An 18847-nucleotide genomic window follows, 5' to 3' on the forward strand; every position below is an offset into this window, starting at 1 on the left:
AGGGTTGAGAGTGAAAGGAGGCTTGGATTCACTGCACCTCGCCTTTCCTGCAGGGGAACAATTAAACAGCTTGTAAAGCCCAATTCTGTATCTCATGGGCATTGAAGAAAGGGATTTTAAAAAGCTGATTCTAGGCATTAATTAGTAATGAGTTTCTGCTACATTTTTTAAAGTTGTACTTGTCACACCATTCAGTGGTCATTATCCCTTTTTAATGAATCCACAAGGTTAGTTTTACGATTGGCAAGAAATTCAGAGTTTCAGGAGAGACTCTGTATGTTAGAGAGCTCCTCAGGCCAAGGTCATTCTTTCTAACAAGTGGATAAGCAGCCTCCTTTCTAGGGTGCTCCAGCCTCATGGGGACCCCTTGTGGGGCAGCATCCTTCACCTGAATGCTACCCCTCCAGATGCTTCCAACCTTCAGGCCCCAGCCCGATCTGCTTCCATCCGAGGTCACCCAGTCCTTTCATACCATGATAGACTCCAACGCTGAATGCCTGGGCCTCTAAGCAAGTGCTCCTCTCAGTTCCTCTTATGAGTGTTGGGTGCCACCTCATCTTTCCCCAAGACATTAGAAGCCAAAGGTCAGAGACGCCTTTTCAGACCTTCCTGTTGCCCTAGCTCAGAGCCAGTGGGTGGGATCCACCTTCACTTGATAAAGATGATTTCTGAGCCAACTCCCAGCAGGAGGGTTCTGTAGGCAGGCTCTGCCCTGTCATGGGTCAAGCAGGACCCAATTTTCTATTTCTATTCATTTCTTGTTGCAGCTGTAATAACATACCACAAACGTGGTGGCTGAAAACCACCCAGAGATTGATAATCTCACCCTTCTGAAGGTTGGAAGGCTGATACAGGTCTCACTGGGCTAATACCAAGGTGTCAGTAGGTTGCATTTCTTCTGGAGGCCATAAGGGAGAACCCTTCTTCTTGCCTTTTCCAGCTTCTAGAGGCTTCCTGCATGTCGTGGCCTCAGCCTCTTCCATCTTCAAGCCGGCAGTGGGTGGCCGAGGCTTTCTCACAAGGCAGCACTCTGGTACCGATGCTTCTCCCTTCCTCTGCCACATTTAACAACCCTGTGATCATGTTGAGACTGCCAGGATAATCCAGGACCACCTCGTTTTCTTCAGGTTAGCTCATTAACAATCTCATTCCATCTGCTCCCTTCATTCCCCCTTCCATGTAACATAACATTCACAGGCTCCTGGGACCAGGACGGGGACGCGTGTGTGGGCCATGATTATGCTTACCACAGTAATCGAGGTGAAGGAGATATGCAAAAACAAACAAACAAACAAAAACCCATTTCCCCAGCTTGTTTAGTGGGACAGACGCAACCAGAGAGAGCCCCACTAGGCGGAATGCTCCCAAACAGGAAGGGAAAAGGATTTACTGTTATAGAAACATTTCATTTCCTCCACTTAACTTCTTTTATCCTCCCAGGATTTGAAGTTGCCAAAAAGGTGGGAGCTTTTCCTTTGTTTATGGCTGTGACTTTGACATGTTAATGACAGGGGACTTTGCTAGCCTTGAAAGAGTGGGGAGGACCGAAGAGACAGCTTGCTTTCTTCCATCTGCCATGGGCCTATCGGAGCCATCATTTCACCTCGCTTTGTGGAGGTTTTCTTCATGTATTCCATGAGGATGAGGCCATCTGCTTTCCTGTCTGTAATTAGTTGCACACTTGTGCTTCTGCTGCTATTGCACTATGTTATTATGTTTGGGTTTTTAAAAGTATGATGTGCGCCTCCCTTACTTGAATCAAGACTCCCTCAGAGAATGGTGCATGTTTTCAGTGCCTGAGAGAGGGCGTCTGATGGTAAGGGAACCTCTGGGGGTTGTTCTGAATCCTTGAGCAGCAGTCAGACTGCAGTCTTACTCTTACCTCCTGGGAAGACGCAGTCACAGTCAACAGGGAAACATCTTGCCATCAATTACGAAAGCCTCATGCAAGCTGCTTGGCTTTGTAATTCAGGAGACTATGGAAGGCCTGCTAGTTGTCCAGAGCAGGAGATACAGACCAGAAGGGGAAAATGGGATCCTGAGTGTGAGTCATTCTCACCATTTTGTCCTCAAAGAGAAAAAAAGTGCTGGTGGTGGGTGCCAAGTAGAGGAATAAACAGGTTCTAACATCAAGGGCAGGAGAAGAGAGGGGTTGAGGATGTAGCAGCATGGGAAAATAGTTGGTAAGACAATAGTTGATGGGAGAATGAACAGGTTTAAAAGTTAGATTAAAAAAAAGAGCAGCAACTACTTTTGCCTGCCTTGTCTGGTGTTGCATGGTCTTGTCAAGAGTTTTTCATCACAGTCCTGTCAACAAATTAACTGGTAGGAAAAAAAAAATGAAAAAGCTTTCCTTTTAGAGAATGTGCTCACAGAAAGCAACTGTTCCCCCCAAGGACTTGCCCCAGTTCCATCTCTGCATCTGGAGGGAGAGAGGGAGTCAGAGCGTGTGGCCTGGTGCTCTCCAAGAGGGACGTTCTCTGGCAGTGTGGGAGCCACACTTCAGGCAGCACCTGGTCTGTACGTGTCTTGGTGGGACAGCTGATGTAGGGACTCACCCTAGTTCCCTCCTGGATCCTGCTGCCCTGCCACTTTTTGGTGAAAAGGCAGGGGAGACGCAAACTGAGAAGTCAGAGCTCATCTGTATCAATACACCTTAGCACGAGAGCTGCTAGGAGCAGTCACGGCTTCTATGAGTGAGTCATTTTATTTTTGAATAGATAACATAGTCACATAGTGTAAAATTGCAAAGGAATGAGAGAGTACACAGTGAAAAGGTTTCCTTCCACCCTTGACTCCAGACACCTAATTCCTTCACTGGAACCAACTAATGTAGTTAATTTCTTGCACACCCTGCCAGAAGTATTTAATGCGTATATAAGCAAACATACATAAGTTTCCGCTCCCCTTCTTTTAAAATTTAATTGTATTATTTTAAAGGGAATTTCTTCTTTAGGTCAGTTTTAGATGCATGGCAAAATTGAGCAGAAGGCACAGAGACTTCCCATATACTCTCTGCCCCATACACCGACAGCCTCCATGCTTATCAACATCCCTCACCAGAGTGGTACATGCTGTTACAGTCAATGAACCTACACTGATGCCACATTACCACCCAAAATCCATAGTTTACATTAGGGACACTCTTACTGTTGAACACTGTAGATATTTGGGAAAATATATAATGACATGTATCCAGCATTGCATAGGTATCACTGCCCCAAAAGTCCCTGTACTGTGCCTTTTCATCCCTCCGTACCCCAACCCCTGGCAATCACTGATCTTTCTACTGTCTCTGTGGTTTTGCCTTTTCACAAATGTCACGTAGCTGGACTTCTACAATATGTAGCCTTTTCAGGTTGGCTTCTTTCATTTAGTAATATGCATTTTAAGTTTTCTCTGTGTCTTTTTTTGACTTGACAGCTCATTTCTTTTCGGTGCTGAATAATACTCCATTGTCTGGATGTACCAGAGTTTATCTATTCACTTACTGAAGGGTGTCATGGTTGCATCTAAGTTTTGGCAATTATGAATAAAGCTGCCATCAGTATCCACGTGCAGGTTTTTGTGTAGACATAGGTTTTCAACTCGTTTGGGTCAATATCAAGGAGTGTGATTTCTGAATCACGTTGCCTCCCTCACCCCCTTTTATCCATATACAATGTTCTGCATCTTGCTTTTTTGTTATATTTTAGAGATCATTCCATATTATCTCCAATGAACTCTTTATGTCAGTAAAAAAAAATTGCATGGAAAGGATTATGCATCTAAGCTTATGACAACAAGAACACTTTTATCTTTGATAGCCATTTGATGAGACATGGTCATGAAAGATGAAAAAACCCATTGGAAAAAAAAACCCTGTTGAGGAAAACCTATTGTATAAATAGTTCATTAAATTTAAATGGGGGAGTTGGGGAGGGAAACATCGTGGAAGCAAGAACATCATCATGGGGCACAGGGGACAAGCACACTGTGTGACTGAAGGAACAAAGGATCTAGAGTCAGAAGCTGGTTCAAACTCTGGCTCCTTCTCTTGCTATGCAACCTTAGACAAGTCACTCTTGGACCTAGATCCTCAGTTTTCTCACCTATAAAACAGCACCAATAAAAAATGCCTATTTCACTAGTTTTTGGAAGAATCCAGTGAGACAATGCAAGAGACAGAAGTCTTTGTAAAACATTAAGTGCTAGATGGATATATTCACTCTCTTGGCAATATTGCCGTGTGCCGGCTGTGAACCACAGGGTTCCAGGCCCTGGATGCTGGGTGGAAAGCTGACGCGACCCCATGCCCTACGGAGCTTATATTCTCAGGGTGTGGGCAGGATAAACGAATAAGCAAAGAAGAGAGTTTGAAAGATAGTGCTAAGAAGGAAATAACACACAGAGAGGTGAGTAAGTGGTCAGATGGGTGCCCAAGTGAGACAGGGAGGTCAGAAGTGTGGCCTGCTCAAGGGGTTCCCATAGAGCTGGTCGCCACCCAAGGCAATGAAGGAAGGGTGTCGAGGCCAGATATAAATTATTTGTGCCCAGTAGTGCCAGGGGCATGGCAGCCTTGAGAGGAAAGTTGGCAGACGGCTGGGTCGTTTTCTCCTTTTTCCAACTGAAGCTCCTCCCCCCAGCCTTTTTCTCTTCCCTGAGGCTTGTCTGGGGCTGGTGGCACCAAGCAAGGCAGTGGAGGCTGTGGCTGGTGTAACATGATTCTCATCCATGCACAGATCCAGAACAGGAGCCCGAAGGAGGTCAGAGGTAGCAGGGAGCCCAGTCAGCTACGTGCCTTCCTTCCACACTGCCTCCACAGCTGGGCCAAGCTGTTTGTTTGGATTGTAGAGTGATTTTTTATTTTCTGCTAACACCGCAAAGCAGCACATTTGTGCATGTTTATGTGTGAAATGGTATGCATTTAAAATGAAACAAACTTTTATATAAATGTACAAAGTTACAGAACTGTATTTCTAAGCTTTCGCTGTACTTCCAAGTGCAGTGAGAGCAAAACAGCTTCTCAGATTCACCCTTCATTCAAAAGAAAGCTTGAAGCCACCCAGGGGAGGCAAGAATGGGCCTGGGATGTCTCAAGCTTCAGGAAGAGAAACCAAGAGGGACTCATCTGAGCTCCTATTGCAAATGCCCCAGAGGTAACTGAAAGGCTCCCAGCCTAAATCCAAGTTTATCCCAGGCCACCTTGTGAATAATAGAGGTAATAGTTATCCTCCACTAAGGAAACACTATGTGCAGAGTACACAGGTTAAGTATGTTCTGTGCATCTCTAATTCTCACAACACACCCAGGTTGGTGCTCCACAGGTGGGTCTCAGGGACTGGTAGGCAAGGGGTAGAAACCAAAATGAAAACCTGTACCATCCTCTGGAGAAAGCCTTGATTTAAATAAAGTTTTATGACCCAACTAAGGACACAAGCTAGCCCGGCTGGGATCCCAACACGGGTGTACCTGGTTCTAGATACAGCATCTCTCAACCCATAGCAGTGCATTTGGGCCACCATTTCCACCCACAAGTCACCAGAATCCTCAGGTTGCTGGTCTTAGGGACCCCTGAGAGGCTGCTCGGGGATCCCACTAAAGACCACCAGGCAGACCCAGTTTCCTAAGCAGTGTCTGTAACCTAACGATGATGGTGAGAAGTTCCCGGGTAACCTCTGACTGTGCTTTGCAGCATGCAGGGAGGCCTGGCCCCATGTCTATTATTTCTGCCTTCTGTCTACCTTCCACTGATCAGTTTTAGCAAGATTGGAGACCAGGATAGAAATCTGTTCTGATTTATTCTTTCTCACTAACCTTCTATCAAAAATTACCTATTCCAGGCCAGGTGCAATAGCTCACGCCTGTAATCCCAGCACTTTGGGAGGCCGAGGACAGCGGATCACCTGAGGTCAGGAGTTTGAGACCAGCCTGGCCAACATGGAAAAACCCCATCTCTACTCAAAAATACAAAAATTAGCTGGGCATGGAGGCACTTGCCTGTAATCCCAGCTACTTGGGAGGCTGAGACAGGAGAATCGCTTGAACTCAGGAGGCGGAGGTTGCAGTAAGCCAAGATCTTACCACTGCACTCCAGCACTCTAGTCTGGGCAACAGAGCAAGACTCCGTCTCAACAACAGCAATAACAAAAATTGCCTATCCCAAAGATAGGTTAGCGGTTGCCTAGGGCTGGGGGAATGGGGAAGAAGGAGGAGTGACCACTGATGGGTACAAGGTTTCTTTTGGGTTGCTGAAAATATTTTGGAATTAGATAGTAGTGATTGTTGTACAGCACTGCGGATATATTAAAAACCACTGAAATGTACACCTTATATTAATGAGTTGTGTGGTGTGTCAGTTACACCTCAAAAAAACTGTTAACAGAACATTACTTGTTTCATTTCCCATCTTTTCATGGCTATTAGGTGATTAGATGTGGTGGGTTTTAAATACGTCTATAAATACTTTGGTTCTTTTCCACTGAAGAGATGGAACTTAGTAACGCTCCCCTTGAGTATGGTCTGGACTTAGTAACTTTTATCCTAACAATCGCATGTGCCAGGCTAGGGGTGGTGGCTTATACCTGTAATCCCAACAGTTTGGGTGGCCAAGGCAGAAGGACCACTTGAGCCCAGGAGTTCAAGACCAGCATGACCAACATAGGAAGACCCTGTATCTACAAAACCCACAAAAATTAGCTGTGTAGTCTTGGCTCCTGAGGAGGCTGAGGTAGGAGGATCACTAGTGCCCAGGATATCAAGGCTACTGTGAGCTATAATTATGCCACTGCACCCCGGCATGGGTGATAGTCCAAATAATAATAATAATAGCATTTGCTGGCCGGGCATGGTGGCTCACGCCTATAATCCCAGCACTTTGGGAGGCCGAGGCGGGCAGATCACAAGGTCAGGAGATCGAGACCATCCTGGCTAACACGGTGAAACCCCGTATCTACTAAACAAAATACAAAAAATTAGCTGGGGTGAGGTGGTGGACGCCTGTAGTCCCAGGAGGCTGAGGCAGGAGAATGGCGTGAACCCAGGAGGCGGAGCTTGCAGTGAGCGGAGATCGTGCCACTGCACTCCAGCCTGGGGGACAGAGCAAGACTCTGTCTCAAAATAAATAAATAAATAAATAAATTATAAATAACAATAATAGCATTTGCTAGTAGTCAGAAAGTATAACTCCCAATAGCAGGCATTGCAGCTTCCCCCTTGCTTCTCTTCCTTGGATCACTCATCCTTGAAGGAACCCAGCAGCCATGTTGTGAGGACACTCAGACAGCCCCCTGGAGAGCACATGTGGTGAGGAACTGAGGCCTGCTACCAAAAGCCACCAGAATGATCCATCTTAGAAGCAGATCCTCCAACCACAGTCAAGCCTACATGTGACCGCACCTCGGCCAGGATCTTCATCTTCATGAGAGACCCTCAGCTAGAACCACCAGCTAATTTGCTCCCAAATTCCTAAGCTGCAGAAACTGTAAGATGATACATGTTTATTATCTTAAGCCACTAAATTTTGGGTTAATCTGTTAGGCAGCATTAGCTAACATAAGATACAGTAAAATACATGATTAGATAACAATCTGTTAGATCGTATTGGTAACAATGAGCTAATCTGTGGTAAAGTTTTGATAAACACTGGTGGGTGATGCTTTTTCCTTCCAAAATAATGCCTTTCTATTTTAACAGAGTAACCTACCTAGAGCTGCAGTGCCCCAATTCGAAAGCACTGTGACAATGGTGAATATTTCCGACTGTTGGTAGGCATGTAGGGAGGTTATTTTTGATCTAGGGCTGGGGAGTTTCTGTGACTTTCTAATTATGCCATGCAGCCAGCTGCCTGTTCTTCCTACGAATGTGTCTGCACTCATTCCTCAGGTGGTCTAGAGAGACAATTCCTGTCAGAGGCAACACGGGCAGGGACTCGATAATGTTACCAGCCTCCAAGTGGCAGGAAAACACTCCTTTCTCTCTAGGGTTCCCATTCCCCTTTCTTTTCATGGCACCACCTCCTTTGACTATCTGGTCTCCCGCAGGCAAAGGTCAGCCACTCTGTCCTTTACGTCCTTCACTCACAGGTCTTTCCATTCTGGGTAAGTTATGCCTTTGCAGCCTGCTGACTTTTTCTTTTTGTCATGTCTTCTGTCTTCTTTGACATTTGTTGCTGCTACGGCCCTTTGGAAAGCCTGGAATTCTACTAATAATGTCCTGAAAACTGGGGATTGGCATGTAAGAGTGCTAAAGTTTTCACAGCAGGGACTTCGGAGTGTCTTTATGCTTGTGTGAAACAAGTAAAGAAGTGCACACACACAGCACACCACCCACAAAACAACAAAAAGGTGAGTGTAATGGCTACCCAGGGTCTGCCTCCCCAGCCACAAGCCTGGGCGAGATGTCAGGCTTTGACTCTACACCTTCCTCCACACAGAGGTGACTCCTCCCACCCAGACTGAGGGCTGTTAATAGGTAACCAACACCAAAATCATTTACAAAGGATTAATAGTAATCTCTCAAGCACACAATATCTCCTTTGCTATAATCATTACCTTTGAGTATTTCATTTCTCCATCTGCTTTGAGAATGTTTGAGAATTTTCTTTGTCTTTCACTATCAATGTAAACAATTGCTTGGGATCCCCAGGTACTTACTCCAAGTTTTGCATTTTGTGGTTTCACTGCTGTTTCTGTTTCAGAGACCAAGAGCTACTAGTGGCCCAGGAATTCCCAAACTGGGCTGGGGTGCCTCAGAGCACTGTAGGGAACTCACAATGGCAGTGGGAATATTTTAAATTTTTGAGGGAAATGCGGCAATACTTGACATTGACAGATACCTCATGAACTGAGGTAGTTCAGAGTTCAGCATTAAACCCAACTATATTCTTTACAATAATATCCTCTCTTTTCAAAGCTGAATTTTTGGTGGTTATTGTGGTAAAAGGGAAGTGTCAACCCAAATTCAACATGGAGCAGAAATGAGGGTGGCAGTGTCCAATCTAATTCCAAAGTTTGAGAAACTGTGCAGTGTGCAACAGGTACACATATCCTCTTGGTGAGTAATGGTGAGTATTTAAGAATGAAATAATAATATTCGTTTTTGGCTGGGCGTGTGGCTCATGCCTGTAATCCCAGCACTTTGGGAGGCCGAGGCAGGTGGATCACCTGAGGTCAGGAGTTCGAGACCAGGCTGGCCAACATGGTGAAACCCTGTCTCTACTAAAAATACAAAAAAAAAAAAAAAAATAGCTGGGCATAGTGGCACACATCTGTTATCCCAGCTACTTGGGAGGCTGAGATAGGAGAATTGCTTGGACCCGAGAGGTGGAGGTTGCATTGAGCTGAGATTGCCCCAGTGTACTCCAGCCTGGGCGACGAGCGAGACTCTGTCTCAAATAATAATAATAATAATAATAATAATAATAATAATAGTTTTTGTTTCAATTTATATACTTTGTTTACAAAAGGCTAGAATTATTAGGACATAAATATCCCTTAAGTGGTTTAGACCCAACTACTCAATAAATGGAATTGCTAGGTATTTCTTTTGGCCTCAGGACACTATTAAAAAATGTCTGCTGCACTAAGAGAGCAGTGAACTGAGGAAGTTTGGGGACCTCTGTTGTGGCCCCTTGTGACCTGTTCCCACCCCATCCATCTCTAGCGCTCCCCTGCTCCCCCATTCTATGCCTTTCCATGGGGCACTGGGTGCTGTTCACCAGGCTTGCCGTGCCTCCTCAGCCCTAGGACTTCACATGCGCTCTTGACTCCATTGGGAATGGTCTTCCTTCTCCTCCATATACACTCAATCACGTGTAATGCCTGTAACTGCACCCATCACCTTGAATTGTATTGACGTGGTTGTAGATTTGTTTTCTCACTAGACTGTGAGCTTCTTGAGAATAAGGAACAGATCCGATTTACCTCAGTGTACATACCCAGAATTGCAGAAAAAGCACTATGTGTGTTACTAGAAGCTGTCTAGAATTCTGCTGGTTATGTACTGCCTCTTACCTTCTCTTCCACAGACACTCCTATTCTCTCCAACCGCCATTGCATCCGTGATACTGACAGTACAGAGACCAACCATGGAGCACGTGGTCTTCCTTCCTCCTGAAATTATTCCTTTGACAGGAAGTTGCCTATGGACTGGGACCTGGAGATTTTGCTTGGGATGCTCTGGCCTCACTTCAGGAAGAGTTCTAGAGCAGGGTACCAGGCCAGACACTTCTGGTTTCAAGAAACAGAGACTCCTAAAGGAAGCAAGGAAGATTGTTGTGTTGTGTTGTGTTGTGTTTTGGTTGGTTGGTTGGAAACCCAATGTTATGCTTCTTCAGGAGCAAGCATATGCCAGAAACAGCATCCATACCAGGATCCCTCAGCAACTGGGCTTCACAGAGCCTGGGACTCCGGTCAGGAGCTCAGAGCTTGCTCTGAATCCAAGGCAATACTGCTGCCCAGGTCACAGTGAACTTCACCCCAAGGCTCCATAGTCAGTGTGACAAGTTTTTCACTCCTCTCTCTAAGGTGCTTCCATTACCAATTTACCACATTCTCACCTTAGCCCTAGTTCAAAGTCCAAACAGAAGGAATCTGATTGGCCCAGGTGATCAGTGAAGTCTGTTAGCACAGGCTAAGAGATTTCCACCTGGCCAACTCCTGGCTGTGCTTAAGTCAGGTGTCTGCTTCTCATCCAATGAGCTGAGGTTCAGAAAAGAGGCTCAGAGGCACCAGTGTGATGACTCACTGGAAGAAAGTCCTCATCGGGAATGGGAGTGCAGCAAATACACTGAGGACTTTCCTCTCTGGTCCCCCACGCTTTTTACTGCTGTGTAGCATTAATTAGCTGTTTTCTCAACAACGGTACTTGTTTTATAACAGGATCCTTATTTGTCATCCTGAAATTGTCAGTTACAGTTTATGCTCTGATAATGTTCAGATATCCAGTTATAGAGCTATCAGTATCAAGCTCATTATTTAATGTATTAACAACAAAATGACACTCTGTTTCCTTGAGCAAGTCTCTTTCTCTCTTGCGAGCTTAGTTGAATTGCCTATGAATGTGAGCACAAAAATGCTTTATTTGCCCAAAGAGAGGGGAGGGACTAGTTCACCTCTTTAGGTACTGTCTCATACCCAGAATCTAGAATTCTATAGTGATTTATGAACTTAGAGTTTCCAGACCACTGAATCAGGATCTATGTGCAAGATAAATGAATCAATGAGGTAGAAAAAGAGAGCTTCTTAATTTGAGCAATGAAACCCATTAAATAAAGGAAAACTTTTAATTGGTATGTCCAAAAATTGAGGACTTTGTCCTTGGCCTACATCGGTAGCTATTTTGCATGTGTGTAGGCCAGGCCTGAATCTCCAGTGAAACCCTCCCTGAATCCAGGCTCATTCCCAGGGCTGACTTTCAACCCCAAAGATGGATTTTTCCCTACATCTCCCATGAATCTGTGGTGTCAACCACACCATGGCCTCTGCCACTGAGTTATTTGTTGTCTTGAACCATTTATTCACAAATTTCACTTTTTTTTTTTTTTTTTTTTTTTTTTTTGAGACGGAGTCTCGCTCTGTCGCCCAGGCTGGAGTGCAGTGGCGCGATCTCGGCTCACTGCAAGCTCCGCCTCCCGGGTTCACGCCATTCTCCTGCCTCAGCCTCCCGAGCAGCTGGGACTACAGGCGCCCGGCACCACGCCCGGCTAATTTTTTTGTATTTTTAGTAGAGACGGGGTTTCACCGTGTTAGCCAGGATGGTCTCGATCTCCTGACCTCGTGATCCGCCCGCCTCGGCCTCCCAAAGTGCTGGGATTACAGGCGTGAGCCACCGCGCCCGGCCACAAATTTCACTTTCATCTGAACTGCTTCTCTCTCCTAGACCTTCTTTCTTTTGCAGCATTTAAGCCCTGTTCCAACTGGCTCTTTTGCCTGAACTTATACACATAATCAACCCTCGTCCAAAAAATAAATCCCCTTCCTTGGACCCTGCATGATCTCCTAGCTTTCACTCCAGGCTTTATACCCAAGCTTAAGGAAGAAGTGGTCTGTACTCAGAGTTCCCATTTCCTCCACTTCCCACCTCCAACTTGAGACAGGGAGACTTCTGCCCCCACACACTCCTGACCCTGCCTTTACCAGTGTTACCAGGATTCTCCTAATATCCACCTAGAACGTCCCCATCTTTAGGCCTGACATGTCTGGCCCTGTCCTTAGCATCTGACCTCAAGGATTCCTCCCTCCTCCCTGGAACCTGTGAGCATCAAAATCACGGGTGATTTTGTGAACTTTAGTGAGCGTCAAAATCACCTGGAAGGGCTTATTCAGACAAAGTGTGCCAGGCTCCACCTTGGAGTTTCTGACTGAGAGGTCTGGTTTGGGATGCTGGAGTGTGCATTGCTAATGAGTTCCCTGACGATGCCCATGCTGCTGGTCTGCAGACGACACACTCACACACATTGCTGGGGGTGATTTTGCACCACTCCCCTTTGAACATTTCGCAGTGTCTCGAGACATTCTGGGTTGTCACAGCTGGAGGGAGAGGCAAGGGAGCGGGGAGATGCTACTGAAATCTGATAAGTAGGAAGCAGGGGACAGCCCCATCCCCCCGTGGCCAACAAAGAATTATCTGACCCAAAATACCAATGGTGCTGAGGTTGAGAAACCCTGCCTCAAAGATCTCTTCCTTGGCTGTCTAGTCTCTGATATCTTCTTCTTGTCCCTCTGTCATCCCCATGGCCTTATAGTCCCACCTGTCCTCACTTGTTTATTTCCACTGTCCCTTCTTGGTTCCGACTTCATAACCTCCCATATGCATTACTTACTACAATAGCTTCTTTTTATTTACTTACTTTTTAGTGCTTATGTTTCATTATTTTTTCCTTCTTTTTTTTTTTTTTTTTGAGACAGGGTCTGTGTCTGTCACCCATGCTGGAGTGCAGAGGCACCGTCATAGCTCACTGTAAACTTGCACTCCCAGGCTCAAGTGATCCTCCCACCTCAGCCTCCCAAATGGCTGGTACTACAGGTGCATGCCACCACATCTGGCTAATTTATTTTTTTTATTATTTTTTTCTGTAGAGATGGGGTCTTACTGTGTTGTCCAGGTTTGTTTTGAACTCTTTGTATCAAGGGATCCTCCTGCCTTGGCCTCCCAAAGTGCTAGGATTATAGCTTGAGCCACCGTGCCTGGCCTACAATAGCTTCTTAAATGAACTTTTGGATGACAAGGTCATCCCTCCTAAGTCAACATAAACTCTCTGAGCATGTGGCTTCCCTAGTTAAAAGCCATCAATGCTTCCCCTCCTCACCCAGTGCCTTCATGAGATCCTGGACCCTTGGGACTCACAAGCCTCTGTGAGCTGCCTCTTGCTGGCCTCACCCGTCTGGCCTGCCCCACTGCCCTCCCCACATAGCACACTTCTGCCTTCCGAAGCTGCTTATAATTGCTGCTTTCTGTCTCCAGATAACATATTGTGTTCTCCTCCACCTAGAAAGCCCTTTCTTCATCTCTGCCTGGCGAATTATTTTCCCAACCTTTAAGACTCAACTCAAGTTGAAACCTCCTCCAAAGAGCCTTCCCTGACCCTCCTTGTCTGCTAACTTAGCTGCTCCAACTGTGGGTCTCACAGAGCCCCTTGCTGATATCTGTGCTCATCTATCCTAACACTTATCACCCTGGAGGTGCAAGAGAGCCCAGCGCTAAACACACAGACTCTGAGCTGAAATTTCAGCGTTTGAATCCCAGCTCTGATGTTTACTAGCTGTGTGACCTTGGATAATGCACTTAATGGTCTGTGCCTCAGTTTCTTTATCTGTAAAATGGGGTTGATGAGTGCCTACCTTATTAGATTGTGAAGACCGGATGAGTTAATATACAAAGAAAGCACTTAGAACAGGGCTTGGCAATTAATAAGCAGTTTAATAGAGTTGGTCATTGTTATTATTATTACTGACTTGTCTGTTTACCTCACTGGGTTGTAAGCTCTGTGAAGATAGCAGTATGTTTTTGATTTCTGTATCCGCTCGTCCACAGTAAGCATTTAATAAATGTAAGTTAGATTTGTAAATCTCCTTCCCTTCTTTTCTTGCTGTCTGCCTGACACCATTTATTCATTAAACAAATGTTTACTGAGCACTTTATATATGAGTCATTATTGTCCACGCCCTTGGTTTCTAGGAGCATAATACAGTGCCTGGGGCACTGAATTAAGACTTGAAAAAAACGGGCCAGCCATGGTGGCTCATACCTGTAATCCTAGCACTTCGGAGGCCACGGCAGGAGGATCACCTGAGGTCAGGAGTTCGAGACCAGCCTGGCCAACATGGTGAAAACCCCGCTCTACCAAAAATACAAAAAAGTAGCTGGGCGTGGTGGTGCACACATGTAGTCCCAGCTACTTGGGAGGCTGAGGCATGAGAATCACTTGAACCTAGGAGGCGGAGGTTGCAGTCAACCGAGATCACACCACCGCACTCCAGCCTGGGTGACAGAGCAAGCCTCTGTCTCAAAAAAAAAAAAAAAAGAGTTGAAAAAAACTTGAGTTCTGGACACCCCTTAAGAGGCCTTACACATTAGATAAGGATAATAGTGTCTTTCACCCTCCTCTGTCTCCATAATGTTGTGACGCTATCATGAAATAATGAATTTATAGAAAGTATAGGACAATCATCAAATGTAAAAATATTTATTTTCCCAACCCACCTTATTTCTTTTTAATGACTCTGGAACAAAGGCATTGGTCTGACCTATGATTATTTGCATATTGCTCTTCACAGATGAGTTGTAGAAAATGTTAAGTGAGAAACAAATGTGCTGAGGCTGTGAGAAGTGAGAAAGCTAAGGGAACAGCTTCATTGTACAGAATCATGCAGTCAGCAATCAGCAGTTTCCAAGGTGTGTTTCAAACAACACTTATTCCAGGTGATGGTAACAAGTACTGGGATGCGGAAGGGAGTTACCTATAGTTAAGTAAATCTGGGAAATACTGGGTTAAACAAATCTAAACCAATGTCTTTGTGGTAGGACTTCTCAGAGTCTTTAATAAGCTAATGTACACCATGAATCTCCAAGAGGGGGACCTCAGATGTAGGCAGGGTGCAGAATTTTCTAAAGTTATTGACTTTAGAAGCTTTTTCCATTAAATGTCTTGAGAAACAAGTGTTCCATAGAACACAGTTTAGACATGCACCATAGAAAACACTGTTTCAGGCCATCTTTCTTACCTACAGACATTGAAAGTGAGATCCAGATAAATTAAACAACTTCCTCCAAATGACACCGTTGATAGAAGTCTGATTATTAGGCTAGGGATTTTTCCAAACAACCACACTAATTCCATTCTTTTCCATACTCTCAGAAAACAGAGGCCTGAGGGTTCTGACTTGGTTTCCAAATGGTTTTCAACTATGAATACCAGAATCTCAAGAAAACTCAAAGTAAAATTGCGAAGAAAATAGATAAAAGTAGATTTCATTGTCTTTCCATTTAGATATTGAATGATCTCCTCCCTTCTCTGAAATTCTCAGTTCAAACTATCCTTCAAGTCCCCTGCTTTCAATACCTAGTATCTGAGAAGAGCTTAAACAATGCTTGTTGAGCATTGATTCTGCCATATTTCTCCTGTCAGCAGGGAATCACCTCTCTCCCCCACATTCCCATCACACATTATCTGCACTATTCAATGGTAATTTTCATAATCTTTCTTATAACTTTTATACACATTCTCTTTCCAGCACTAAATTATAAAATAATAGAAGAAAGAGTCTATGTCCTATTCAGTCTCATAAGCTGATTTTCAAAACTATGTCCCAGGGAAAGAGCTACCATAATCATTTAAACTTTATTGTAAATTAATGAATCATTTCTCATGCTCTATCAGCCTGGACAAATTAGGTTTATGCTGCAGTAACAAACAGCCCCCAAATTTTTGTGATTTAACCCAATAAAAGTTTCTCATACATGTTACATATCTCACAATGAGTCAGCAGAGGGCTCTGCTCCACACAGTCACTCAGGACCCAGGCTCATCATGGTGGCTTGACCAATGACCTCCTCAGTTGCTGCAGCTAGAGAAAAGAGTGCTAGAGATCTCACACTGGATGTATCATGCCTTGGCCGAGAAGCAACACAAGTCACTTCCGCTCACAGCCCATTGGTTAGAACTAGTTATGTGGTCCTTCCCAAATGTTGTGGGGCAGAGAAGTCTAATTATCTCAAGTGACCAGAAGGAAAGGAAAATTGGATGTGGGTGAACCACAGAAGTCTCTACCATGCAATGGGTTTGTAAAAATTAAGCTTTCTTTTTAATAGTGGTATGATAGGCATTGAGAACTTAACAGATGCTTGAAATAACTTTTTATTGATGAATGGATTGAAAGTTAGAGATATTTAAAGTAACAGAAAGCGTTAAATGAATAGAGCACAATATCAGAATTCTAAACCAATTTTGTCCCTAATCTATGACACTGGCAAATTTGATCACCATGCTAGACCTTAGTTCTCTCACCTGTAAAAATTAGAGATTATTATATAATTTCTAATGTACCTTCTAATCCAAATATTCTAGTATTCTATGGTGGGGTAGGGGCCATTCATCCCAAGAATTACTCTCTCTTTCTCCATAAGAGAGGTCCTGTCAACAAAGGACCCACCATACTCAGCAGAATTATGTTTTTAACACAAGCTGTGTGTTGTCCAAATAAATGGAGAAGCCACAGAGGAGAGAATAGCTTAGACAGAAAGGATCCAGAAATAGCCTTTCATTTCAAGCCAGAGTCAAGAAGGAGCCTTAAGCAGACTGGAGATGTCCACTTTTGTTTTGGGAAATACCAAAGTTGTCTCTTCGATCAAAGAAGATTTTAAAAGAAGCAAAAAAATTCTTTCATGTTCTCTGAGCTGCTCTTGGGCCTGAGCCCAAACACTGTTGTAACTGAGACATAGGGACATTTGGTAGTGTTATGTTCTTATTTGGCCCAGTGCAACTCTTTATTTATTAAAGCCTTGGGGCTGTTCAGGCCAGGGTTCAGTGTATTAGTTTATGTAGTTTGCCTCCCTAGACAGAAGAGAAATTTGAAAACCCCCAGCTTTAGGGTGACCCAGTTTGAGCTGAGATATTAACTCTGAAGCTTTTTCTTTCTCTTTTCTTCTTACGCTGTAAAAGGTATTTGGGGCCATGCTAGCAAAAGGTCAGGATTCAACACCTCATTTCTCCCCTTACCAATGCCTCTCTCCTCCTTCACTATCCCTACATGAATTGTATTCTTTTTTGTTTATTTGTTTTTCTGAGATGGAGTCTCACTCTGTTGCCCAGGCTGGAGTGCAGTGGTGTGATCTCGGCTCACTGCAACCTCCGCCTCCCAGATTCAAGCAATTCTCCTACCTCAGCCTCCCGAGTAGCTGGGATTACAGGCACATGCCACCACGCCCAGCTAATTTTTGTATTTTTAGTAGAGCTGGGGGTTCACCATGTTGGTCAGGCTGGTCTCGAACTCCAGACCTTGTGATCCGCCCGCCTCAGCCTCCCAAAGTAATCCCACGCCTGGGATTACAGGCGTGAGCCACCGCGCCTGGCCATGAATTGTATTCTTGATGTAATTCGGCCCACCAATATTTCTTGAATACTAGTAATATGCAAACCATGTGCTATTGTGAACTGAGAAGACCCCAGTCCCTGTGTGCATAGGGCTAGGAAAGTCCTGGGGAGACAAACATGAAAACAAACCACTCCAGGAGTGTGGCAGGTGCAGGACTGGACGTACGTACAACAGGGTGGGGAGGTGTGGGTGCACATCACACTGCTTGAGGGGCTCACAGGGAGATTTCTGAGAAAGAGTCCTTAACCTGAGGCCTGAAAAATCAATAGAAGTTTACCAGAGGAAGGTTCTGGGGAAGGGTGTGGGAACAAGGGTGTCCCAGCCTTAGCCTAGGCCAAAGCACAATAAAATAAAATAACATTCCATGCTTACAGAACTTCAGATAATTTCAGTTGGTTGAGCGTGGAATGAATAAGAGGTGCAGAGGTGAGAAGGGAGCTAGATCATTGCGGACCTTGTTCTCTCAAAATAATTCAAGCAATAGTTTTTCTCAAGGGTGGTTGGAGATTGGATTTTGGAAGGACAAAGTGTCTCCTGAGGTCCTAAAGTGAATTTTAACTGTGTCAACCAGGTCTCAACAGGAAACAGCACATTTGCATTAGGATATTTCAAGGATGTGTTTATTTACAAAGGGACTATGAATAGAGGCATAGGAAAACCACAAGGGAAAGTGCAGAGGTTAGCGCCAGAGGCAGAGGAGGTACCACCACTCTGAAGGCTGAAGGGATGAGGGGAGGGAATCATTATGGGAACTCAAAAGGGGAAAGTAGTATAGAAGAGAGTTGTGTAGGGGCACAGCCAGGGAGAGATCAGGAAAATAAATCCCCCAACCTCCATCCTCCTGTCCCTCCAATATTCTGCCAAATCTCTTGGTAGGTTCAACCCAACAAGAAACTGGAACCTATTGACATTGTCCCTAAAGAGCACTAGGACTGGAGAGACAAATGGAAGATACCCAGCAATTTACTGCTGGCTCTGTTGACACTGTTGCTAGCGATGAGGGAGATATTTATGGTTAGGACTCTGTCCATCATGCTCACAGCATTCTCCTCTTCTTCATGGTCTTTTACTTCACATCCCAGGCAATGTTGCCCTATCCTATCCTTCCAGGCAGCTGGAATGTACTCTATGGGATGTGAAACACAAAATGCACCAGACAACTAAAGAGATTATTTTATTCAGGCTATTGCAATAGAGAGAACACTCATGAGTGAGGAACGCTAAAGAGCAAGTAGGGAGTTTGGGGTTTTATAGAGGTAGGTAAACAAGAAAAT

General features: G+C 44.7%; 1 annotated feature.

Annotated features, from left to right (window-relative positions):
* Positions 227 to 276: an enhancer, noted in NCBI's record as "active region_16544". NCBI's record gives its function as "activates an Ori minimal core promoter by ATAC-STARR-seq in GM12878 lymphoblastoid cells {active_cell/tissue: GM12878}" and the evidence as "EXISTENCE:reporter gene assay evidence [ECO:0000049][PMID:35858748]".

Source organism: Homo sapiens, chromosome 2 (assembly GCF_000001405.40).
Source record: "Homo sapiens chromosome 2, GRCh38.p14 Primary Assembly".
NCBI lineage: Eukaryota > Metazoa > Chordata > Mammalia > Primates > Hominidae > Homo > Homo sapiens.